Source organism: Homo sapiens, chromosome 19, assembly GCF_000001405.40.
Source record: "Homo sapiens chromosome 19, GRCh38.p14 Primary Assembly".
Taxonomy (NCBI): Eukaryota; Metazoa; Chordata; class Mammalia; order Primates; family Hominidae; genus Homo; species Homo sapiens.
Window position 1 is genome coordinate 460,052 of NC_000019.10, and position 24,665 is coordinate 484,716.

Here is a 24,665-nt window from a genome sequence, read left to right on the forward strand (position 1 = left end):
GGCCGCCCTGGAAGTCCCTGCTGCCTCCCATCTGGAATCCTGGGGTCTGTCCGGGCGCCAGCCCCTTTCCAAACACCCCTTCCCGCACCCCCACCGCAGGCCAGCGTCTCGGGCCCCGTCTGTCATTCGTGAACAGCTGTCCGGGGGGCTCCGGTGGCAGAGACGCCCCGGCCGCTCGCCGCTCTCGGCCTCGCCCGCCCAGTCCGAGTGGGGGGCGGTGCACCTGCGCATGCGCGCCCCTCCCCCGCCGCCCTCTCCCCGCCCCTCCCCACGTGACGCCGTGGGAACCCGGACCCCAGCGCCTCCGGGTGGGGGCAGCCGCCGGCCGCCGGCCGGGGATGGGGGTCCGGGGTGGCGGGAGAGCAGGAAGGATGGGGAGGGGACACCTGGCTCGCGGGGTCCGGGGGTCCCGGAGGAGAGGGTGGGGGAGGGGAGGCCGCCGCGAACGGGCTCCCGGGGGGGGTGGGGGGGACTCACCCGCACGACGTAGGAGACCCCGGGCCCCAGGACCCTGGCGTCGGGGTGTAGCCAGCCGTGCGCGGGTTTGTGGATGAAGCTGCCCTTCCGGATCCACTCGGCGGCGGCGGCGGCGTCCCCGGACCCCGCCGCCCCCCGCCCGCCCCGCGACCCCCGCGACCCCGCGCCCCGACAGCGGCTGAGCGCGGGCAGGGGACAGGGCGCGGCGCAGCGGGGCTCGCAGGCGCCCAGGACGGCGGCCGCCAGCGCCGGGACGCCCCCCGGGCCCGCCGGCTCGGGTTGGGGGTCCGCGCCCCCCGAGGCCCCAGCCGCCCGCGCCGCCGCCGGGCCGCGGCCCAGGAAGCCGCCCGGGGCCGCGAACTTCCACTGCGGCATTCGGGGCAGCAACGCGCAGAAGGTGGTGGGCGCCTCGGGCTCGGGGGGCGCGGGGGGCGCCGGGGGCGCGCGCCCGCCCGGACCCTGCGTCATGGCCGCGGCCGCCCGACGGAGCCCGACCGGGCGCTGCGCCTGGCGCGGAGGAAGCCCTCCCGCTCCGCCCGCTCCCTCCCGCCCCCCGGCCCGGTGATGTCATCCGCCCGGCCCAGCGCGCAGCCGCGGGGGGCTGCGCCCCTGGGACCCCGGCCCTCCTCGTCCCGGAGCCTGGCCGCGAGGCTGGGGAAACTGAGGCCCTCCGAGGACACCGGGCGCTGGCCTGGAACCCGCAGCCAAGGCGGGACGGGGCTTTGAACCCAGAACCCCGTCAGCGACCCTCCCCGCTGCGCCCCCCACCCCCGCCCGCCGCCCAAGTTCGCAGAAGGACCGAGCTGGAGAAGCTTAGAAATTCCACATCCCTTCTTTCCCCTATTTCCTAGTGGGGAAACTGAGGCCCCGGGAGGCGCGGCCAGGGAAAAGAGAACCCCAGACCCTAAGGTCAGCCCCTCCCTCTCCGTTGTTGCAGCTAGAAGGTACCTTAGGGTCACCCCTATTTCTTAGTGGGGAAACTGAGGCGCGGGGAGGGGAAGGGGCGCGGCCGAGGGCTCACAGACGAAGCTCAAACCCAGGAGTGCCGGCTCGGGGGTGGGGGGGGGGGGCGGGGCTAGGAGCGGAGCCGGGCCCCTGCTCTGCGGCCTGTCCCGGCCTCAGTTTCTCCGGCTGTAACTCAGGGGAGCGGGCTGGAGGGTCGCGGCCCTTCTTCCCTCACTTCTGGGGAGCCCAGTCCCGCACCAGCTCATCTGAGCTCTGGGCCTCAGCCTCCCAGGCCGGTCGCTCCATCCCCAGCCTCAACCTCTCCGAGACCGGCCGCACCTTCCCTGGCCTCAAGGGTCGGTTCCTTCTGCACCAGAAAACGGGGTGTCACTGTCACCCCGGGACCCAGCCTCCTGGCCCGACTTGGCTGGAGCTCCCCTGCACCTGCCCCGCCCCAAGCAGGGCTGATTGCCGGGAACAAAGGGAGGGGCCGGGACGCGCTGGCAGGTGGGGAGGGAGGGAGGGGCGAGGCTGCCCGGAGCCCGATCGATAATTCAGGGGATGAGATCACAGCCGGCGCCGCCCGCGGGGCCGGGGAGGTGGGGGAGGGGAGCGAGGCGCGCGGTCGCGATCGGCCGTCTCTGCCGCGGCGCGTGTCGGACTCAGCCCCTGCGCGTCCGCGGGAGGAGCAGATCGTGGGCGCGATTGGTCGGGCTGGAGCCGCGGCTGGACCTGCGCGCGGTGTGTGTGTTGTGCGCAGGGTGTACGCTGTGTCTGGGTGCGTGTCCAGGCATATGCAGGGGATCCAGGCTGCTGGGTCCTGGGGTGTGTTCACCTAATGGGTAAAGGGTGGGACAGGTTTGGCGGCCCTAGGCTGAGGGCTGTGGGCTGAGGAGAGAGCAGCCCCACCACCCCCTCTCTGCGCCCTGCATGCCTCCCAGGCTGCATCCCTCAGGGAGGTCCCGGGGCAGTGTCGCACCCTCCCAAGCTCCGGGATTAGGGTCTTTCTGGATGGGAGGTTTGTAAGGTGGTCCAGGTGCCATCCCTCCCTGGCACACAGAGGGCTCAGTCACACGGCACCCCCGGTGTGTTTCCTTCCTGTCCCTTGGAGACAGTGGCAGGAACTCAGTCCAACATCCAGAGTTCAAATCCTGACATCAGACTGAGGTGGGGGCTCACAGCATGCCCCAGGACAAATGTCCAGTCTCTCCAAAGCACCATTTCCTCTCAGTAGATGCCCCTGGTCCTGAGTTGCTATGAAGCCTAGATGATCTTTATTAATATCCAAAACATAGCAAGCAGCTACTGATGGCAGATATTAGAATACCTCAAGCTCCTATACATCCTTCAAAACCCAGCTTCAATATTGCCTCTTCCAGGAAGCCTACCTGGCTGCCTGCTCAAAAGCTTGGCTCCACCTCCGGCCTCCCCTCGCCCTGGGTCTCTCTTCTGGTCTCTCAGACCCCCTGGCCACTGGAGGGCTACGGGTCTGGCTCTGGAGGGCGGCGTTCGGGTCTCTTTTCTGTGACATCAATAGACACGTTAAGGCCGGGCTCGGTGGCTCATGCCTGTAATCCCAGCACTTTGGGAGGCCAAGGCAGGAGGATCACAAGGTCAGAAGATCGAGACCATCCTGGCTAACATGGTGAAACCCCATCTCTACTAAAAATACAAAAAATTAGCCAGGCGTGGTGGCGGGCGCCTGTAGTCCCAGCTACTCGGGAGGCTGAGGCAGGAGAATGGCGTGAACCCGGGAGGCGGAGCTTGCAGTGAGCCGAGATCGCGCCACTGCACTTCAGTCTGGGCGGGAGTGCGAGACTCCGTCTCAAAAAAAAAAAAAAAAAAAAGACACATTAAATGAGTAAGCACATGTGATGCTGACAGCTCTCCAGCCCAGGAAAGGTTTATTGGCTAAGCAACTGTAGAAGGTGGAGTGGGAAAGGCACAGGCCTCGGGGCTGCCTCCAGCCTGAGTTTGGGCTGGGACCGGGGCTAACCCAAGCTGTGATGGGGATCCAGGCCCTAGTGGAGCTGGACGCCGAGTTCTGGGACACAGGAAGCTCCATCTCCAGCCAGCTACTGGGGAGGGCCGGAAGGTGTCCCTTTCCCCACCTGGCCTGGCCTGGCCTGGCGTGACCTGGAAGAAACTGGGGCACTGGAAGGAGACTCACCCTGCACCCTGCACAGGGCCATGGGTCACAGCCCCCAGGGACTGGAAGGATCAGGTGTCCTAGAAGGACCTGGACAGTTCAGGAAAGGGGAGGGAAGACTCCTTTCCCAGCCCCTCTCGCCTTCTAGCCCCTCCAGCCAAAGCCAGGCCCCAGGAGAGGCCCGCCAGCCCCCCGTTCACTGTGTGGGAAACAGGCCTGGCCTAGCAGCAGCGGCCGGGCAGCCTGTGCCCCGCAGGCCGGGAGGGCGTGGTGGCGGCCATGGTGCTGGCCCGTTTCGAGTGGCGGATGCCCATAGAGAACGCTGGAGCCCTGGCTTTGTTCACGGTGACCTGCTCTGGGCAGTGGGCGCCAGGGCCGGGGGTCTCCTCCAGGGGTCGCGGGGCCCGGGGCCGCCCCAGCATGGTGAAGGCAGGCAGGCGCTGGCGGTAGGTGTTTGCGTCCGGGCTGTCGTACTGGCCCGGGCCTGGTATCTCAGCAGGATCCTGCGGGGGGCGGGCGGGGGGGGTGCGGCCCACCACCGTGTAGCTGGGGCTGCTGGGCTTGGTGAAGATCTGTGAGCCCCACAGAGGGGGCATGGTGTAGGCATTAGGGGCAGGGGCTGAGGTGTCCAGGGGCTTCAGGGGGAGGCGGCAGCCCAGGGTGAAAGCCGGCGGTGTCCGATGGCGCACAGGGGGCACCTTCTCTGGGCTGTAGGCCCCAGGGCCTGGCGTCACCTCCGGACCTGAGAGAGTGGGGAAGGAAAGGTGGCACTGATGTCCTCACCTGCCCAGAGACCCGGCCTGGCTCCCCATGGCCCACATGCACCCTGGAGCTTACAACGCTTCTCAAGCAGCCTGGGTGCCTTTCTCTCCCTTCCCCATCCTCCATACACATGGTCTGTGTTTCAAGCCTCCAGGACTTTGCCCAAGCTGGACCCAGGGCCAAGCACGCCTTCATTTTCCACCCCTCCTCCCTGCTGCCTTCCCCAGCCCATCCAGGGTAGAGCCCTCACAGCCCTTCCAGAGCCCCACAGCCTGGGTTTTCCCCTCTCTCCAGACGTGAGCACACTGAGGTGGGATGGTCTGCACCTGCATCTAACTGCCCCACCAGACTGGGATCCCATAAAAAGGAAGGCATGTCAAATTTACTCCAACTCTCCAGCAGTTGACTGTCTGAGTTGATGGGTGAACAGGATAGGTAGGAGGTGAGTGGTTGAGCGGGGAGTGAATGGTTCATGAAGGGATTTGTAAATGGATGGATGAGTGGATGATGGATGGATGGATGGATGGATGGATGGATGGATGGATGGAACGGTTGATAGGTAGAAGGAAAAAAGGAAGGATTCATAGATGAGTGGGTAGGTGGGTGGCTGAATGGGTGGGAGGGTGGGCGGATGGATGGATGGATGAGTGAGTGGATGGGTGGATAGATGATGGATGGATGGATGGGTGGGTGGAAGGATGGATAGGTGGATGGGTGAGTGGGTGGATGGATGGATGGGTTGATGAGTGGATGGATGGATGGGTGGGTGGGTGGATGGCTGGGTGGGTAGATGCTAGGTGGGTCAATGGATGAGTGGATGGATGGGTGGATAGAATGTTGGGTGGATGGTGGAAGGAGGGGCGGGTGGATGGGTGGATGGATGGATGGATGGATGGATGATGAGTGGGTGGATGGGGGATGGATGGATGTGTAGATGGATGGATGGATGAGTGAGTGGATGGATGAATGGGTAGGTGGATGGGTGGATGGATGGGTATGTGGTTGGATGGGCGGGTGGATGGGTGTGTGGATTGATGGGTAGGTGAGTAGATGGTTGGATGGATGAGTGGGTGGGTGGATAGATGGGTGGGTGGGTGGATGGGTGAGTGGATGGGTGAATGGTTGGCTGGATGGGTGAGTGGATAGATGGGTAGGTGGGTGGATGGATAGATGGATGAGTGGATAGGTAGATGGGCAGGCAGGTGGGTGGGTGGATGGGTGCAGGTCGGTGTGTGGATGGGTGTGTGGATGGATGGGTGGGTGGAGGGATGAGTGGGTGGGTAGATGGATGGGCAGATAGATGGTTGTGTGGGTGGGTGGGTGGATAGATGAATGAGTGGGTAGGTGAAAGGATGGACAGATGGATGGGTAGGTGGATAGATGGGTGGGTGGGTGGATAGCTGGACAGATGGGTAGGTGGGTGGATGGATGAGTGGGTGGGTGGATGGTGGATGGATGTGTGGATAGATGGATGGATGGGTGGGTGGATGGGTGGGTGGATGGGCGGGTGGATGGATGGGTGGATAGATGGATGAGTGGATGGGTGGATGGTTGGGTGGGTGGATGCTAGGTGGGTGGATGGATGAGTGGATTGATGGATGGATAGATGGTTGGGTGGATGCTGGAAGGACGGGTGGATAGATGGATGGGTGGGTGGATGGGTGGGTGGATGGATGAGTAGATGGAAGGGTGGATAGATGGTTGGGTGCAGGGTGGATGTATGGGTGAATAGATGGGTGGGTGGGTGGATGGATGAGTGAATGGATGGGTGGATACATGGTTAGGTAGATGGTAGATGGATGGGTGGATAGATGGATGGGTGGGTGGGCGGGTGGGTGGATGGATGAGTGGATGGATGGGTGGATACATGGTTAGGTAGATGGTGGATGGATGGGTGGGTGGGTGGATGGATGAGTGGATGGATGGGTGGATAGATGGTTGGGTGGAGGGTGGATGGATGAGTGGATAGATGGGTGGGTGGGTGGGTGGGTGGATGGATGAGTGAATGGATGGGTGGATACAAGGTTAGGTAGATGGTGGATGGATGGGTGGATAGATGGCTGGATGGGTGGGTGGGTGGATGGATGAGTGAATGGATGGGTGGATACATGGTTAGGTAGATGGTGGATGGATGGGTGGATAGATGGATGAGTTGGTGGGTGGATGGTTGGGAGGGTGGATGCTAGGTGGGTGGATAGATGAGTGGATTGAAGGATGGATAGATGTTTGGGTGGATGGTAGAAGCATGGGTGGATAGATGGAGGGGTGGGTGGGTAGGTGGGTGGATGGATGAGTGGATGGACGGGTGGATAGATGGTTGGGTGGAGGGTGGATGGATGGGTGGATAGATGGATGAGTGGATGGGTGGATGGTTGGGTGGGTGGATGGATGAGTGGATTGATGGATGGGTAGATGGTTGGGTGGATGGTGGAAGGATGGGTGGATAGATGGATGGGTGGGTGGGTGGGTGGGTGGATGGATGAGTGGATGGACGGGTGGATAGATGGCTGGGTGGAGGGTGGATGGACGGGTGGATAGATGGTTGGGTGGAGGGTGGATGGGCGGGTGGATAGATGGATGGGTGGGTGGTTGGGTGGGTGGGTAGATGGATGAGTGTATGGACGGGTGGATAGATGGTTGGGTGGAGGGTGGAAGGATGGGTGGATAGATGGATGGGTGGGTGGGTGGGTGGATGGATGAGTGGATGGACGGGTGGATAGATAGTTGGGTGGAGGGTGGATGGGCGGGTGGATAGATGGATGGGTGGGTGGTTGGGTGGGTGGGTGGATGGATGAATGGATGGACGGGTGGAAAGATGGTTGGTGGAGGGTGGATGGACGGGTGGGTAGATGGTTGGGTGGAGGGTGGATGGATAGATGGTGGGTGAGTGGGCAGGTGGATGGGAGAATGGAGTCAGGCAGGTGTGTCAGGTGTGCGGGCAAACTGTTGGGTGCCTGTGAAGGATACTGCCGATTTGCCACAGTCCCCATTCACCTCTCACCTCCTGACACCTAGGCCAGCTGCCTCTGTGGCCATGTGTGCCCAGGGCCTCTGTCATCCTGACCCACTTCACTCATTCAGTTCTCCCAGCCCCAGTGGGCACTGCAGTGGCGGCCCCTCCTCCGTGTCCCTTGGATTTGATCACTCCAAAGACTCTGCATTCTAAGAACTCCAAGGATAAGAGGGGGAGGGAGGACAGGGCAGGAGAGTCGCTGAGACCCTGGAAAGCAGGTCCTTGTGCGGCTGCTTGGCTCCAGTACTCACCCCGAGACTTGGCCCGGCCCTGCATGGAGTAGGCAGGGGTGCAGCTGCGGCCAAAGCGTGTGACTTTGGGGTCCAAGAAGTAGATGGGGCCCGGGCTGGTGTCCTGAGGTGGTGCTGGGGAGAGGAGCCCAGAGTGCTGAGAGTGATTCTGAAGACAGTGCCTGCCCCACCGCCCGGCCTCAGTGCCCCTCTTGGCCCCGAGACACTCCCACCAGGTCAGAGGCCACCCCAGTCCCATCTCGGAGGGGTCACCCCAGGGGCCCTGAGTTGTGGCTGCCTGAACTGGGTGCCTCAGGTCTCTGCTCTGACTCTGTCTCCTCACAGTCAAAGTGATTCTGCTCTGCTGCTGTTTGTAGCCACCTCTGCCCCTCTAACCTCTGCGCAGGTGTGGGCTGGAGAACCAGCTCGTGGGTTTGTTGGAACTGGACATAATTAGGCTGGGTGTGGTGGTGCACACCTGTAATCCCAGCACTTTCAGAGGCCGAGGCAGGAGGGTCACTTGAGCTCAGGACTTTGAGACCAGCATGGGCAACACAGCAAGATCCCGTCTCTACTAAAAATTTAAAACTTAGCCAGACATGTTGACATGCACCTGGGGTCCCAGCTCCTCGGAATGCTGAAGGGGGAGGATCACTTGAGCCTGGGAGGTTGAGGCTGCAGTGAGCTGTGATCGCGCCACTGCACTCCAGCCTGGGCGACGGAGCAAGATGGAGTCTCAAAAGAAAAAAAAAACTGCACATAAAGAGTGACAAGAGCGACTAGGCTCTGAACCAGGGCTTCGGCTTGCTGGCAGGTCGCATGCTTAAGAGGGGGGCTCGGCGTTGGACCACGTTCAAATCCAGCAGGGCCTCTTGTGAGCTGGTGACCTTGGCCAAGTTATTTATCCTAAGCCTATTTTCCTCATCAGCATGTTGAGAAAATCAAAAAGTGAGAGGATCCACAGAAGGGAGTGATCCTGTGGCCTTGCACTTCCCGATTGAGACCGTTTGCTGCTTTCACCATTATTGCCACGCCAAAGCACAACCAGTGACAGATGCGCAGGCACCTGTGTGTAGCAGCGTGACCGGTGTTCACGGCCCCACAGACCGTCTGTGCACACATGCTGTACATGTGGCAGTGAGCCACGGGTGAGGGAGGAAACGTCATCCACACCTTCGCCCTCCCCTGAGGAGTCCGTGGCACGCAGTGTGGCCCAGACACGGCTCCAGACCTCCCCGAAACATCATCCAAACCTTTGCCCTCCCCTGAGGAGTCCGTGGCACGCAGCGTGGCCCAGACACGGCTCCAGACCTCCCCGAAACGTCATCCAAACCTTTGCCCTCCCCTGAGGAGTCCGTGGCACGCAGTGTGGCCCAGACACGGCTCCAGACCTCCCCGCCACAGGCACAAGTACTTGCACATACGCTGTGGTCCCCAACGCAGGCTCACTGGCCAGACTCCAAGGGTGATCACTGACCCTTAGCCACAGCCTCATCCTTTGTTAGACTGGCAGGAGGGAGGGGGTCTATTTTTAGCCCCTTCCCCAGGCCCTGGGCAAATACAGTCCCCCAGGACTGGAAGAGGCTGGGGAGATTCTTTTTTTTTTTTTTGAGGGAGTGTCTCACTCTATCGCCCAGGCTGGAGAGTGCAGTGGCTCATGGCTCACTGCAGCCTCGACCTCCTGGGCTCAAGCAATCCTCCCACCTCAGCCTCCTAACTCTGGGACCACAGGCATGCACCACCATGCCCTGCTAATTTTTTATTAGAAACCCTTGATCATGGCTGGGTGCGGTGGCTCACGCCTGTCATCCCAGCACTTTGGGAGGCTGAGGCGGGTGGATCACCTGAGGTCACGAGTTCGAGACCAGCCTGGCCAATATGGTGAAACCCTGTCTCTACTAAAAATACAAAAATTAGCCGGGCGTGGTGGCGGGCGCCTGTAGTCCCAGCTACTCAGGAGGCTGAGGCAGGAGAATCACTTGAACCCCGGGAGGCAGAGGTTGCCGTGAGCCGAGATCGCACCACTGCACTCCAGCCTGGGCGATAGTGTGAGACTCAGTCTCAAAAAGAAAAAGAAAAAGAAAAAGAAATCCCTGGTCATAATCCCATCGCCCCTCCACAGATGCCTGGGCCTCACTCACGTGACCACAGACTCGCCTCAAAGTGCTCACTGTGCAGGGCTTAGCCATCAGGACTCCCCATGCTGAAGCACTGACCTTGGCCTCTACCCTGCACCTGGAACCTTCCAGCCTTTTCTTCTGCCCTCCCCAACCCCTGGCTCAGTGCCCCGTGAGAAATGAACACACCCCAGCTCATCATGACATCACTCATCTCAAGGCCTCAGCCTACAAACAGGCTCTGCCTGGAGTTCAGTTCTTCTGGGGGCTCCACCAAACTCCTATTCATCCTACAAAACCCAGATCCCATGTTCCACTTCCAAGAAGCCTACCCTGGGCCTTCAGCAAAGTGTGCACGATCCCCAGTCCACCAGCCTCCCCACGCTGTCTCGGGCCCAGGAGGTGTCCTGAGACTGGATTTGAACCTGGGAACTCAGATCGGTCTGGGTCATAGGCTAAGTTCTTTTTTTTTTTTTTTTTGCGACGGAGTCTCGCTCTCTCACCCAGGCTGGAGTGCAGTGGCACAGTCTCAGCTCACTGCAAGCTCCGCCTCCCGGGTTCATGCCATTCTCCTGCCTCAGCCTCCCTAGTAGCTGGGACTATAGGCGCCCGCCACCACGCCCGGCTAATTTTTTTTTTTTTATTTTTAGTAGAGACGGAGTTTCACCATGTTAGCCAGGATGGTCTCGATCTCCTGACCTCGTGGTCCACCCGCCTCGGCCTCCCGAAGTGCTGGGATTACAGGCGTGAGCCACCGCGCCCGGCCCATAGGCTAAGTTCTTAAGCCAGTCCTGGGGACAGGGGGTGCTGACGCCTTCACTGGCATTCTGGGACCCCTTGCAGCTTCCTGAGTCCCAGTGTGGGCTGGGATTTTTGCTCATTCTGAAGGCTGAGAACAGGCTGCTGTCCTGCCCCTCCTCCAGCCGCCCCTCCCAGCAGGCCTCTGTCCAAATCCCCACACAAGACCCTTCCGACCGCGCTCCCAGCCCAGCTGGGACCTTGGAGCAGCGGTAGAAAATGGAGGGATGGAATTTGGGAGCCCTGAGACCTGCTGGCCCGTGGTAGCAGCGCCACTGATGAACACCAACAGCTCCCTGGGTGCCGGGCGGGGTCCACGCCGGAGCTGCTTCACTGCGCCCGTTCTAGACAGGAGCAGGCACCATGGGGCAAGGCCACCAGCCTGTGGCACAGCGAGCCGGTGCACCCCATGCCTGCCCTCCCGCAGGCAGCCGGGAATGTCCACAGAGATACACCACAGCCCTGTGAGACGGGCCAGGCCCGGGGAGCCCCCACCTTCATGGTGGAGAAACTGGGGCTCAGGGCTCAGCCTCACACCCGACAGCACACGTTTACTGAGCACTTACTATTTTTTCTTTTTCTTAAATTTGTTTTTGTTTTTGTTTTCTTTTCTTTTCTTTTTTTGAGACGGAGTCTCGCTCTGTCGCCCAGGCTGGAGTGCAATGGCATGATCTCGGCTCACTGCAGCATCTGCCTCCCGGGTTCACGCCATTCTCCTGCCTCAGCTTCCCGAATAGCTGGGACTACAGGCGCCTGCAACCACGCCCGGCTAATTTTTTGTATTTTTAGTAGAGACGGGGTTTCACCATGTTAGCCAGGATGGTCTCGATCTCCTGACCTCGGGATCCCCCCGCCTCGGCCTCCCAAAGTGCTGGGATTACAGGGGTGAGCCACTGCGCCCGGCCCTAAATTTGTTTTAAGACGAGGTCTCACTCTGTCGCCCAGGCTGGAGTGCAGTGGTGCAATCATAGCTCACTGCAGCCCCGACCTCCTGGGTTCAAGTGATCCTCCTGCCTGGGCCTCCCCAGCAGCTGGGACCACAGGCACACACTACCACACCCAGCTTTTCGGCTACTTTTAAAAGCATTTAATCCTCACTTAATGAATCTCAAAAAGGCATCTAATCCTTACAACAGGCCTGTATGGAGTCTGTTATTATTTTTAATATAATGTTAATGTTTTTGTTACTATTGTTAACTTTTTTTTTTTTTCTTTTTAGAGACAGAGTCTCACTCTGTCGCCCAGGCTGGAGTGCAGTGGCGCCATCTCGGCTCACCGCAAGCTCCGCCTCCCGGCTTCACGCCATTCTCCTGCCTCAGCCTCCCGAGTAGCTGGGACTACAGGCGCCCGCCACCACGCCCGGCTAATTTTTCTTTGGTATTTTTAGTAGAGATGGGGTTTCACTGCGTTAGCCAGGATGGTCCCAATCTCCTGACCTCGTGATCCGCCTGCCTCAGCCTCCTTAAGTGCTGGGATTTCAGGCGTGAGCCACCGCACCGGCCTGCTATTGTTAACTTTTAACAGAAACTGAGTTGCAAAGCACTTAAGCAATTTGCCTGAGTCCAGGCAGCAAGGAATTGCAAACACGGTAAGGCAGGTACAGGTACTCACCTCCTTACTGCGCTCTTTCTCCTTCCATTCTCATTATCAATGAAAAAACAGAGAGGGACAGCAGCTTGCCTGAGGTCTCACAGTAAGTAGGAGGTGGAGCAGGTTGTACAGCCCAGCCCTGCCTGCTTCCTGCCGCACTAACTGGGGGCCTGGATCTAAGGGGTAAGGAGACCCATCAGTGCTCCTGGGGGGAGATTGGAGGATCAGGGAAGCCTCCAGCCGCCCACTCGCCCGCCTTACCCTCACTGGGCCTCCGGACGAGCGAGTAGGCGGGACTGGCCACCCTGGTGCAGTCGTGGTTGATGAAGCCCACGGTGGACGGCAGGACATACAAGCCTGGCCCCGAGCCTGCAGCCCAAAGCCCTCAGGTCACCTCCTGGGCCCAGATTCCCCGAAGAAGGAGCCCTGGACCCAGCTCCTGAGCCTTAGCCTGGGTTCCCCTCTCCCTCCATGGTGAGGATTGGGGGCCCCGGGGAGCAAGAGGCTGCTGCCCGTCGGGGACAAAATGTGATGCCTGCATTGTGAGTCAGACATGAATCACAGAGGAAAAGCTGGGGACAGCAGCCCCCCTCACCCTGGGGCACAGACAGGGAGACTGGGGCCTGAGCCTCCCAGAGATACACGGTCACAGGTGGGGAAACTGAGGCCTGAGCCTCCCAGAGATACACGGTCACAGATGGGGAGACTGAGGCCCAGGCAGAGATACACGGTCACAGATGGGGAAACTGAGGCCCAGGCAGAGATACACGGTCACAGATGGGGAAACTGAGGCCTAGGCAGAGATACATGGTCACAGATGGGGAGACTGAGGCCCAGGCAGAGATACATGGTCACAGATGGGGAAACTGAGGCCCAGGCAGAGATACATGGTCACAGATGGGGAAACTGAGGCCCAGGCAGAGATACACGGTCACAGATGGGGAGACTGAGGCCCAGGCAGAGATACACGGTCACAGATCGGGAAACTGAGGCCTGAGCCTCCCAGAGATACACGGTCACAGATGGGGAGACTGAGGCCTGAGCCTCCCAGAGATACACGGTCACAGATGGGGAGACTGAGGCCTAGGCAGAGATACATGGTCACAGATGGGGAGACTGAGGCCTGAGCCTCCCAGAGATACACGGTCACAGATGGGGAAACTGAGGCCTAGGCAGAGATACATGGTCACAGATGGGGAGACTGAGGCCCAGGCAGAGATACATGGTCACAGATGGGGAAACTGAGGCCCAGGCAGAGATACACGGTCACAGGTGGGGAAACTGAGGCCCAGGCAGAGATACACGATCACAGATGGGGAGACTGAGGCCTGAGCCTCCCAGAGATACACGGTCACAGATGGGGAAACTGAGGGCCAGGCAGAGAAACACGGTCACAGATGGGGAGACTGAGGCCCAGGCAGAGATACACGGTCACAGATCGGGAAACTGAGGCCCAGGCAGAGATACACAGTCACAGATGGGGAGACTGAGGCCTGAGCCTCCCAGAGATACACGGTCACAGATGGGGAGACTGAGGCCCAGGCAGAGATACATGGTCACAGATGGGGAAACTGAGGCCCAGGCAGAGATACACGATCACAGATGGGGAGACTGAGGCCCAGGCAGAGATACACGATCACAGATGGGGAGACTGAGGCCTGAGCCTCCCAGAGATACACGGTCACAGATGGGGAAACTGAGGGCCAGGCAGAGATACACGGTCACAGATGGGGAGACTGAGGCCCAGGCAGAGATACACGGTCACAGATGGGGAAACTGAGGCCCAGGCAGAGATACACGGTCACAGATGGGGAAACTGAGGCCCAGGCAGAGATACACGGTCACAGATGGGGAAACTGAGGCCCAGGCAGAGATACACGATCACAGATGGGGAGACTGAGGCCTGAGCCTCCCAGAGATACACGGTCACAGACGCCATGTGTTGTGGCTTCTGCAGAATCTCGATGCCACAGGGATCAGGAGAGACCACAGAACCAGCCCGAGGACCTGGCTTGGGGCCTGACTCCAGCCGCTAATTGTGGGTGAGGAAACTGCGGCCCGTCCTGGGCCCTCACCGAGGCCAGCAGCTGATGTGGCTCCCAGCAGAGCCGCCTCCGCACACGCGCCCCTCGCCCTGCCCCACGTTGTCTAGGGCGCCCGTCCCTGAGGGCCACGCTGGAAATATTCCCTCCTCCCCGCGTCTCCCGCATGATCGCTGTGGCTTTGCCCACTGCTGTACCCACAGCCCCTGGAAGGGGACCCGGCTGGCAAAGCACGCAGCTTCCGTTGGACAGACACATACTCGGGGCTCACGGCAACCCCGTGTCCACACCCATCCTGCCGGAAGGAAAACTGAGGTCTGGGGAAGGGCAAGGACTTGCCTGAAACTCCTGCCTCCTGCTGGGCTCCCAGAACATTCCAGAAGCCCCAGAAGTATGGGGAGTGGAGCAGGAAAAGGTCCCACCCATCCCCCACGGCTGGCACGCACCGTTCTCCAGGGTGGCCGTCCCACAGGACTTCCTCAGGCCGGTCTCCGGAATCTGGCCCTCCGTCACTCGCCGGCCAAGGGGGGCTGTGGCCAGCCGTGGGGTGGAGTCGCAGCTGAGGGTCCCCATGGTGGGCAGGCGATGGCCCCCACAGCACCCACGGGGCCTGGTGCTACCTTCTGAGCCGCAGCAGCTCTGGCGGCCACAGGCCCAGGCACCGTCCCCACCTTCACGGCCTCACCACACCCTCCCACGACCACAGCCGCACAGACGGCCTCTTGTCCCGCAGCAGGGAGTCGTGGGGCCCTGGCCCAAGGCAGGCTGGTCGGCCGGACACTGGCCTGGAAGTGGGGCCGGGATCGAGTGTCGGCCAGGCGGCTGGATGGTCCAGGAAAGAGTCCGGTGTCAGCAGAGTGCGTCTCCCGGGAGCCGGCAGAGCTGGGCAGCTGGGGCCAGGGCCGGCCCCAGGGAACTAGACCTGCAAACATGACACCCACAGCCTTGCAGCAGGAGGGCCTGGCGGGGTCGTGGGTGGCGTGGCCCCGTTTCTACACCTGGGGAAACTGAGGCACAGCCCAAGGTCATACAGCAAGTACACAACTCTGGGAGTTTCAGCTCTGAGCCAAGAAGCATTCACTGCCTCATCCTGTCACTCATTCCTGCCAAAGCATGTACTGGGCACCTACTGTGTACCAGCCTCTGTTGGGGGTGGTGAGAACTGGACACGAACAGACGGAAAAGAAGGAGATGTTCTCAGGATGGGAGAGAGAAAGTCGTCAGTAAATGTGATAAGTGAACACAGTCTGGTGTATGAGGAGGCACTGAACGTGAGGGAAAACGCAGACAGGTTTGGGGCCCAGGGTAGCAGTGTGGGTGTGGGTGAGCCCCACGGAGAAGGTAAAACTGAACAGTCCCAAAGCAGGTGAGGAGGCAGCCGTGCAGAGGCCCTGGGGCAGCGGCGAGGACAGCGGGGAGGTGAGAGCCGTCCTCACTGCCTCCCAGATGCCTCCGAGATTTAAACCACAATGGATTTTGATACATTCAAGGCGACCACTGCGTGAGGCTCCAAGAAGAGGCTCAGAAAACTGCCAGATGAGATGCACGTTCCTGTCTCTTCCTTGTTTGTTTCTGTATTTTTTGGAGCCTTTTGCAGTGTAATTTTTTTTTTTTTTTGAGACAGAGTCTCACTCTGTCACCCAGCCTGGAGTGCGCTGGTGCGATCTCGGCTCACTGCAACCTCTGCCTCCCGGGTTTATGCGATTATCCTGCCTCAGCCTCCTGAGTAGCTGAGATTACAGGCACCCGCCACCACGCCTGACTAATTTTTATATTTTTTAGTAGAGATGGGGTTTCACCACGCCTGGCTAATTTTTTTTTTTTTTTTTTTTTTTTTTTTTTGAGACAGAGTCTTGCTCCCCCGCCCAGGCTGGAATGCAGTGGCGCGATCTCGGCTCACTGGAACCTCCGCCTCCAGGGTTCAAGAAATTCTCCTGCCTCAGCCTCTCGAGTAGCTGGGATTACAGGCATGCACCACCACGTCTAGCTAATTTTTTTGTATTTTTAGTAGCTAATTACAGGCACACTCCACCATGTCCAGCTAATTTTTTTGTATTTTTAGTAGAGACGGGGTTTCACCACGTTGGCCAGGATGGCCTCAATCTCTTGACCTTGTGATCCAACCGCCTCAGCCTCCCAAAGTGCCAGGATTACAGGTGTGAGCCACCGCGCCCAGCCAATTTTTTTGTATTTTTAGTAGAGATGGGGTTTCTCCATGTTGGCCAGGCTGGTTTCAAACTCCTGACCTCAGGTGATCCACACACCTCGGCCTCCCAAAGTGCTGGGATTACAAGCGTAAGCCACCGTGCCTGGCCTGCAGTGTCATCTTTAACAGCTTTATTGATATAATTCACATACCATACAATTATACATTTCACCCTGCAATGTAATTTTAATGTATTGCATGTTTTAAAATTTTTTAATCAAAATGGTATAGTCTACATAAAGGATCATAAAACAAGTCTTAGTACATATCAAACTTTTGAAACTTACAGAGCATATTATCTGGTGAAAAAGGAATTAAAATAGAAATCACCAACAATACGATATCCAGGATCCCCCAAATATATTTAGAAGTTAAACAACATACTTCTGAATAACCCACGCATCAAAGAAGTCATCACAAAGGAAGTTAGAAAATTTTCAAACTAAATGACTATAAAAAATCAACATATTAAACTGTGTAGGATGCAGTTAAAGAAGTACTTAGAGGGAAAATGGTTGCTTTAAATTTTTATATGAGAAAAGAAGGCTGGGCACAGCGGCTCACACCTGTAATCCCTGCACTTTGGGAAGCCAAGGCAAGCAGATTGCTTCAGCTCAGGAGTTCAAGACCAGCCCAGGCAACATGGTGAAACCCCATCTCTACAAAAAATACAAAAATCAGCCAGGAGTGGTGGTGTGTGCCTGTAATCCCAGCTACTCAGGAGGCTGAGGTGAGAGGATTGCTTGAGCCTAAGGAGGCCAAGGCTGCAGTGAGCCAAGATTGTGCCACTGCACTCCAGCCTAGGCCTAAGTTTCCACCTAAGAAGCTAGGAAAACAAGAGTAAGTATAAGGAAGATTGTAAAGATAACAGTAGAAATCCATGAAATTGAAAACTGTAGAAATAATCCCTTGGCCGGGCACTGTGGCTCATGCCTGTAATCCCAGCACTCTGGGAGGCCGAGGCGGGCGGATCACTTGAGATCAGGAGTTCGAGACCAGCCTGGCCACCATGGTGAAACCCCGTCTCTATTAAAAATAAAAAAATTAGCTGGGCACAGTGGTGCACGTCTGTAATCCCAGCCACACAGGAGGTTGAGGCAGGAGACTCGCTTGAACCCGCTTGAACCCTGGAGGTGGAGGTTGCACCACTGAGCCAGGATCACACCGCTGCACTCCAGCCTGAGTGACAGAGCGAGACTCCACGTCAAAATCAAAAAAAAGAGAAAAAAAGAACGCCTCCTCCCCATCCCAAAAAAGCTGGTCTTTATTTTTATTTTTATTTGTGTATTTATTTATTTTTGACACGGAGTCTCGCTCTGTCGCCCAGGCTGGAGTGCAGTGGCACGATCTCGGCTCACTGCGAGCTCCGCCTCCCGGGTTCACGCCATTCTCCTGCCTCAGCCTCCCGGGTAGCTGGGACTGCAGACACGCGCCACGCCACGGCACGCAGGCCCTGCACGGCCTCGTCTCCACCTCCCCCTGTCCTCTCGTCCTGCTCCTTCCCCTTTGCCGCTCTACTCTGACCATCCGGACCTGCTTTCCCTCCCTCGAGCCCCTAAGACGGTCTCCACCTCGGCCTCTGCCTGAGCTCTCTCTACCTGAGATGCCTCTGCCAGCAAACCAACCCTCGCTGGCCCCTTCCTCGGTCACGAGGGCCCCCAGCCCACAGGCCCTGTCACTGCCCAACCTTGGACACACCATTTGCTCGTTTCCAGAGGCAGCACAACTCCAGAGCCACAGCAGGGATGGGTGCCGAGGAGGGAGAGAGGAGGAAAGGCCCCAACCTCCCTCGACCAAAGCTGCTCCTTCACCAAAACCAGCCGAAGTGCAGGACCCCAGGGGCTCCCACGGCTAAAGAGACAGAGGGGACAAGGGCCTGGAAGGTGTTCCCCCAACCCCATCCCTCCTCACATCCGGGTCACCAGGTCCAGGCCACACCAGACAGCCACTAAAGGCAGACAGCCAGAGACTTGGTTCCAGCCCGGACTCGGCCCCACCTGCCTCCGTTTCCCCATTTTACGTGGGGTGGAACCAAAAGCTAACACAGGGAAGACAGGATGGGAAGCCGGCCAAGCCGACAGCATGTTGCTGGGAGGACGCTGAGGGCCGGCAGCCTCGCCAGAACGAGCTGGGGCCCCTCCAGCCACCAGTCCCCTTCTGATCTGATCGCACCAGATTCTATCAACTCTGTCTTCAGCTCAGAGCTTGTCGCAACTGCCAAGCAAAGAGCTTGCAAATGAGATGCAAATGAATTCAACACACATGCAGATGAGCCCTGATTTTAATCCTGCCTGCTCGACAGAAGAGACTAAATCACAACAGTGAAAAAAAGGGAGGCTGGACCGGATGAGAGGCCGGAGGCCGGCCCTACGTCCACCCGCCCAGCTGCCGGCTGCAGGCGAGGGACGTCACTGCCCGGCCTGGGTGTCCTGGGTGGGAGGTGACTCCGTTGGTGCTCCCGAGACCCTTGTTCTCACCGTAATTAGGAACTCAGCCAGTGTTTATTTGGGGCCAGGCCCTGCTCAGGTGCTGGGAAAACGGGAGAGGACAAAACACACAAGTTCCTCGTCCTCCCTTTCCCTTGGAGACAGGCAGGCAGATAAGTGAAACTTACGTGAGTGCAGAGGGCACGTCGCGCTATGGAGGAAACGTGGGCGAAGGGGGTGTTGGAGGCCGAAAGAGTGAGGGCCGTGATCAACTCAGTATACCACTGGGGGGCTATATGAGTAGACAGCAAACTGTTCTCGTAAATGCAGAATGTTGGCAAACTGACAAACTGCGTCTGCCGTGCAGAAGGGCTGCTGAGGGCCATCACCACCCAGGCACAAATGTTTCCTACGATTAGGCATAATTGAAGCCCGTCAGTAACAATATGAACCTGTGATCAATTAAGCAGCTGCTCAATCGTTACCTCCTCCTCTCTGCTCTTGTTACCCAATAAATACTAAGGGCTGTAGAAGCTCAGGAAGCTGCCTTTGCTCACTAGGAGCAGGGAGCCCTTTTCTTCTTCTTTTTCTCTTTTTTTTTTTTTGGGGGGGGGGGGGATGGAGTTTCACCCTTGTCGCCCAGGCTGGAGTGCAGTGGCGCCATCTCAGCTCACTGCAACCTCTGTCTCCCAGGTTCAAGTGATCCTCCTGCCTCAGCCTCTCGCGTAGCTGGGATTACAGGCGTGCGCAACCACGCCCGGCTAATTTTTGTATTTTTAGTAGAGACGGGGTTTCTCCATGTTGGCCAGGCTGGTCTCGATCTCCTGACCTCGTGATCCGCCTGCCTCGGCCTCCCAAAGTGCTGGGATTACAGGCGTGAGCCACCGTGCCCGGCTAATTTTGTATTTTTAGTAGAGACGGGGGTTTCTCCATGTTGGCCAGGCTGGTCTCGATCTCCTGACCTTGTGATCCGCCTGCCTCGGCCTCCCAAAGTGCTGGGATGACAGGCGTGAGCCACCATGCCCGGCCCCTTCTTCTCTCTTTCCTTCTCTCTTCTTCTTCCCCACGTTGCCCTTCCTTTAAAATAGTTACTTTTAAGTTTTTATTTCTATTTAAAAGTTTCCTTTGTTTCTTGTTATCATTTTCTACGTTTGTCCCTTCGTTCAGTCTTATAATGACGGTCTCAGGCAGTAACTGTGGCGGTCAGCCACAGGGTGGTTGGTGGTGTGAGCGTCTGCGATGTGAACTGGGAGGTCGGGAGCCTCGCGGAGAAGGTCACGCTCCAGCAGAGACCAGAGGAGAAGCCGAACTCGGGAGGCGGGCGAGGCATTCCAGGCTGACAGGAACTGCACGCACAGAGGCCCTGGGGCAGGACCTGCCTGGTGTGTAGGAGAAACAGCGACGAGGCCCGTGCAGCTGGAGCAGCGTGAGCAAGGAGAAGAGGAGCCGGGAGGAAGCCGATGCGGCGGGTCCTGCACGGCCTGTGGACTGTGGGGACACGGGTGACGTGTGAGCAGGGACGCGTCCCAATCAGAGCTCACAAGCGCCCTCTGGTGACATCTGGGAGAGCAAAACGTGGGCGGTGCCGGGAGAGGGCGTCACATGCTGGGAAGGATGATGAGGATGGATGACAGGAAGGATGATAGGGGAGGATGATGGGAAGGATGATGGGGAAGGATGATGGTAAGGATGATGGAGAAGGATGATGGGGAAGGATGATGGGGAAGGATGATGGGGAAGGATGATGGAGAACGATGATGGAGAACGATGATGGAGAAGGAATGTGGGAAGGTGATGGGGAAGGATGATGGGAAGGATGATGGGGAAGGATGATGGTAAGGATGATGGAGAAGGATGATGGAGAAGGATGATGGAGAACGATGATGGAGAACGATGATGGAGAAGGAATGTGGGAAGGATGATGGGAAGGATGATGGAGAACGATGATGGAGAACGATGATGGAAAACGATGATGGAGAATGATGATGCAGAAGGAATGTAGGAAGGATGATGGGGAAGGATGATGGAAAGGATGATGGGAAGGATGATGGAGAACGATGATGGAAAACGATGATGGAGAACGATGATGGAGAAGGAATGTGGGAAGGATGATGGGGAAGGATGATGGGAAGGATGATGGAGAAGGAATGTGGGAAGGATGATGGGGAAGGATGATGGAGAACGATGATGGAAAACGATGACGGAGAATGATGATGGAGAAGGAATGTGGGAAGGATGATGGGGAAGGATGATGGAAAGGATGATGGGAAGGATGATGGAGAACGATGATGGAGAACGATGATGGAGAAGGAATGTGGGAAGGATGATGGGGAAGGATGATGGGAAGGATGATGGGAAGGATGATGGAGAAGGAATGTGGGAAGGATGATGGGGAAGGATGATGAGAAGGATGATGGGGAAGGATGATGGGAAGGATGATGGGAAGGATGATGGGAAAAGATGATGGGAAAGTATGATGGGAAGGATGATGGGAAGGATGATGGAGAACGATGATGGAGAAGGATGATGGAGAAGGATGATGGGAAGGATGATGGAGAACGATGATGGAGAAGGAATGTGGGAAGGATGATGGGGAAGGATGATGGGAAGGATGATGGAGAAGGATGATGGGGAAGGATGATGGGGAAGGATGATGGGAAGGATGATGGGGAAGGATGATGGGAAGGATGATGGGAAGGATGATGGGGAAGGATGATGGGGAAGGATGATGGAGGATGATGGAGAAGGATGATGGGAAGGATGGTGGGAAGGATGATGGAGAAGGATGATGGGAAGGACAATGGGAGGATGACCGAGAAGGATGATTGGAGGATGATGGGAAAGGATAATGGGAAGGATGATGGCAACCAAGACCAACTCATCTTCACCAAGCTCATGGTGTAGCCAGAAAGTTGATCACCCACAGCAGCACTGCCCACCAGAAACAGACTGAGAACCTCCTACTTTTTTTTTTTTTTTTTTTTTGAGACAATATGTTGCTCTATCACCCAGGCTGGAGAGTGCAGTGGTGCAATCATAGCTCACTGGAGCCTCCAACTTCTGGGCTGAAGTGATCTTCCCACTTCAGCCTCTGGAGTAGCTAGGACTATAGGCATGTGTCACCATCCCTGGCTAATTTCTTTTTTGTGTGTGGAGATGGGATCTTGCTATGTTGCCCAGGCTGGTCTTTAACTCCTGGCCTCAAGCAATCCCCCTGCCTTAGTCTCCCAAAGCACTGGGTTTACAGGCATGAACCACCATGCTCGGCCATTTTTAAATTTTCTAGTAGTTGTATCAAAAAAAGAGAAACACGTGAAATTAATTTTAATAATACATTTTATTAACCCCCATATCCAAAATAATATCATTTCTGCATATGAACATTACAGGTGAGATATTTCACATTCTTCTTTTAATGCTGTCCTCCCAGCCTGGCATGTTTTGCACTCTCTGCCTCAGTGTGGAGCGTCCACAGTTCCAGTGCTCCAGCGTCACCTGTGACCTGTGGACGCTGTGTCGGGCAGCACAGGTCTAGAGAGTAGAGCCTAGGACTGATCCCTTGGGCCAATGGTGCTCAGCCATGGGTGTTGCTGCCCCCAGGGGACACTTGGCTATGTCTGGAGACATTCTTGGCTGCCAGGACCAGGAGTGCTGATGACATCTAGTGACTGGAGAACTACAACGCTGTTCCTCCCAAGAGAAGACCCTCAAATGTCAATGGTGTCAAGATGGGGAAATGCTGCCTTAGTGGATGGGCACTTATTAATCGCCTACTGCATACAGGGTGAGATCGGCAGGGCGTCCTTGGCATACAGCAGATTACTCATGCAGAACGGCTCTGCTGCCAGCTCTGTGCTCACAGGCGCCACCCCACGAGCTGTTCCATGCCTATCACCATGGACAGAGGCGGAGGTCACAAAGCCAGCAGGAGTGTGGACCTAGGACTCAAGTCCAGAATGTTCTTGGCCCTGCACTGTCCTGCCCACCTACACCTGCCAGTCTGAATGTCACCCACCCTGGCCGCCATCATACGAGCACCCCAGCCCCGCCCCTCGACGGGCACCGAGGCTATTCCCACTTCACCTCCTTTACAATTTCCTGCAGTGAACTTCCCAGGCAGACCTCCTGCGCCCATGAACCAGGGTTTCTGGATTAGACACTGTGTGGTCCCTGATGAATCACTGCACCACTGTGCATGTGTTTCCTCCTCTGAAAAACGGGCATATGTCAGCCTGACTCCACAGGGTCACTCTGAAGACAAGGGCATCTGGCCCCTTATCATTCAAACATCCTCTTCCAGCCTTCCCTCACTCCAGCAAATGGCACCTCCAGACCCATGCTGACTTGGATCCAAACCCCTGGGGCCGCTTCCTGGATCCAAAGCCCACTCAGCAGCTGACTGCTGCTCTCCACCTCACAGCCACGGCCCAGTCCAGGGCCCCATCCCCCCCCAACACCCACCCCCACCTCCTCAGGGATCCCTGGGACGCCTCTCCCAGCCCCAAAAGGCCACTCTATGTCAGCCAGAGCCAGCTCTTCAGACATGACCATGGGAAGCCCTACAGACGCCCATCCTGGCTGCCACTGCGTCTAGCACAGGCTCCTCCCCGACAGACCTCCACCTGCCTGAGTTCCCTCACCACTCCCCCAGGCATGCAGGCTCACCCTCGTTCCAGTGACACGGAGCTATGAGATCATGGTGGGCTGAAATCAACAGACCAGGGGTTCCCAACCCAGGTGATTGCCCCCAGGGGACGCTGGGCAGTGTCCAAGGACACCTGTGGTCGTCACGACTGGGGGAGCTCCTGGCATGGGGTGAGTGGGGGCAGGGATGCCGCTAGGCACCCTGCAGTGGCCGGGACCACCCCACCTGGGATGTCCACAGGGCCTGCGGAAGACCCTGCAGCAGAGAGCCATCAGCTCTTCCTCTCATGGGTCCCCGGAAGCTCTGGGATCAATCAATCCCCATGGGGCCGGCTCTGGGATCAACACTGTGTCCCCAGCTCCCCGGAAGCCCCTGCAGCCATCTTCCTTCCCTCTACCTGTCAGCCGCCATCCTGCCTGTAAAGCCAGGCCCCGCTTTGCCTCTTCTGTGCGGCACGGGAAGGGGACGGTGCACTCATGAGACCTCCCACCCTGCCTGTGAGATCAGTCCTGGTGTGGGTGACAGCTGTCCATCACTCACTTCTGTTGCTGGGCAACGTTCCATCCCATGAAGATGCCATGATTTACTCAGAGCTTCTAGGCTGCTTCTAGCTCGGAACAACCGCAAATAATGCTGTGAACACATGTCTCTCTTGTTTTATTTATTTTTTTCTTTTCTTTTCTTTTTCTTTTTTTTTTTTTTTTTTTGAGACAGAGTTTCACTCTTGTCACCAGGCTGCAGTGCAATGGCGCGATCTTGGCTCACCACAATCTCTGCCTCCCGGGCTCAAGCGATTCTGCTGCCTCAGCCTCCTGAGTAGCTGGGATTACAGGTGTGCGCCACCACGCCCGGCTAATTTTTGTATTTTTAGTAGAGACGGGGTTTCTCCATGTTGGTCAGGCTGGTCTCGAACTCCTGACCTCAGGTGATCCGCCCGCCTTGGCCTCCTAAAGTGCTGGGATTACAGGCATGAGCCACCGCGCCTGGCCTCTTGTTTTATTTTTGACACAGGGTCTCATTCTGTGCTCAGGCTGGAGTGTGCAGTGACGTGATCACAGAAAGGAAACCTCAGAGCAGAGTTGGGTCTTCACATACGGTGGCCAGGAAGGCCCCCTGAAGAGGTGAAACGTTAGCAAAGGCCTGGAGGAAGTCAGGACCTCTAAGGGATGCCCAGCTGTGCAGACATCTACGGGGTGTCTGGGGAGGGCACCGCTGTGCAAAGGCCCTGGGGCAGGACCGCACCTGGCGAGGCGGAGGAGCGAGGA

The 24,665-nt window shown here is 57.7% G+C and overlaps 2 protein-coding genes across 12 annotated transcripts in view, besides 2 other annotated features; both read right to left on the reverse strand.

The window, feature by feature from the left end:
• The window catches only part of SHC2 (SHC adaptor protein 2), a 44,445-nt gene extending 43,463 nt beyond the window's left edge, over positions 1-982 (reverse strand). For all 6 annotated transcript variants that reach the window (NM_001387056.1, NM_012435.3, XM_011527894.3 and 3 more), the window contains exon 1: positions 478-982. In NM_001387056.1, the coding sequence (NP_001373985.1) occupies positions 478-945 (468 nt within the window). In that variant the 5' untranslated portion in view covers positions 946-982. The remainder of the gene's footprint in view (positions 1-477) is intronic.
• A 2,327-nt stretch (positions 983-3,309) lies between these two features.
• Positions 3,310-24,665, reverse strand: part of CIMAP1D (CIMAP1 family member D) — a 28,264-nt gene continuing 6,908 nt past the window's right edge. Inside the window, exons 1-4 of one of the 6 annotated variants that reach the window (NM_182577.3) lie at positions 14,570-14,932; positions 12,343-12,450; positions 7,598-7,711; positions 3,310-4,313 (exon numbers count right to left, since the gene is read on the reverse strand). In NM_182577.3, coding sequence (NP_872383.1) covers positions 3,793-4,313; positions 7,598-7,711; positions 12,343-12,450; positions 14,570-14,696 — 870 coding nt within the window. In that variant the 5' untranslated portion in view covers positions 14,697-14,932 and the 3' untranslated portion in view covers positions 3,310-3,792. Of the gene's footprint in view, positions 4,314-7,597; positions 7,712-12,102; positions 12,258-12,342; positions 12,581-14,569; positions 14,933-24,665 lie in introns of those variants that run through there. The other 5 variants (XM_005259545.6, NM_001385599.1, NM_001385597.1 and 2 more) reach the window with 5 other exon arrangements.
• Positions 8,524-8,724: a silencer, noted in NCBI's record as "peak3210 fragment used in MPRA reporter construct". NCBI's record gives its function as "represses an SCP1 promoter by STARR-seq MPRAs in K562 erythroleukemia cells {active_cell/tissue: K562}" and the evidence as "EXISTENCE:reporter gene assay evidence [ECO:0000049][PMID:32103011]".
• Positions 10,298-10,835: an enhancer, noted in NCBI's record as "H3K4me1 hESC enhancer chr19:470349-470886 (GRCh37/hg19 assembly coordinates)". NCBI's record gives its function as "activates a minimal SCP1, AML or CMV promoter by ChIP-STARR-seq in primed H9 embryonic stem cells {active_cell/tissue: H9 hESC(primed)}" and the evidence as "EXISTENCE:reporter gene assay evidence [ECO:0000049][PMID:30033119]".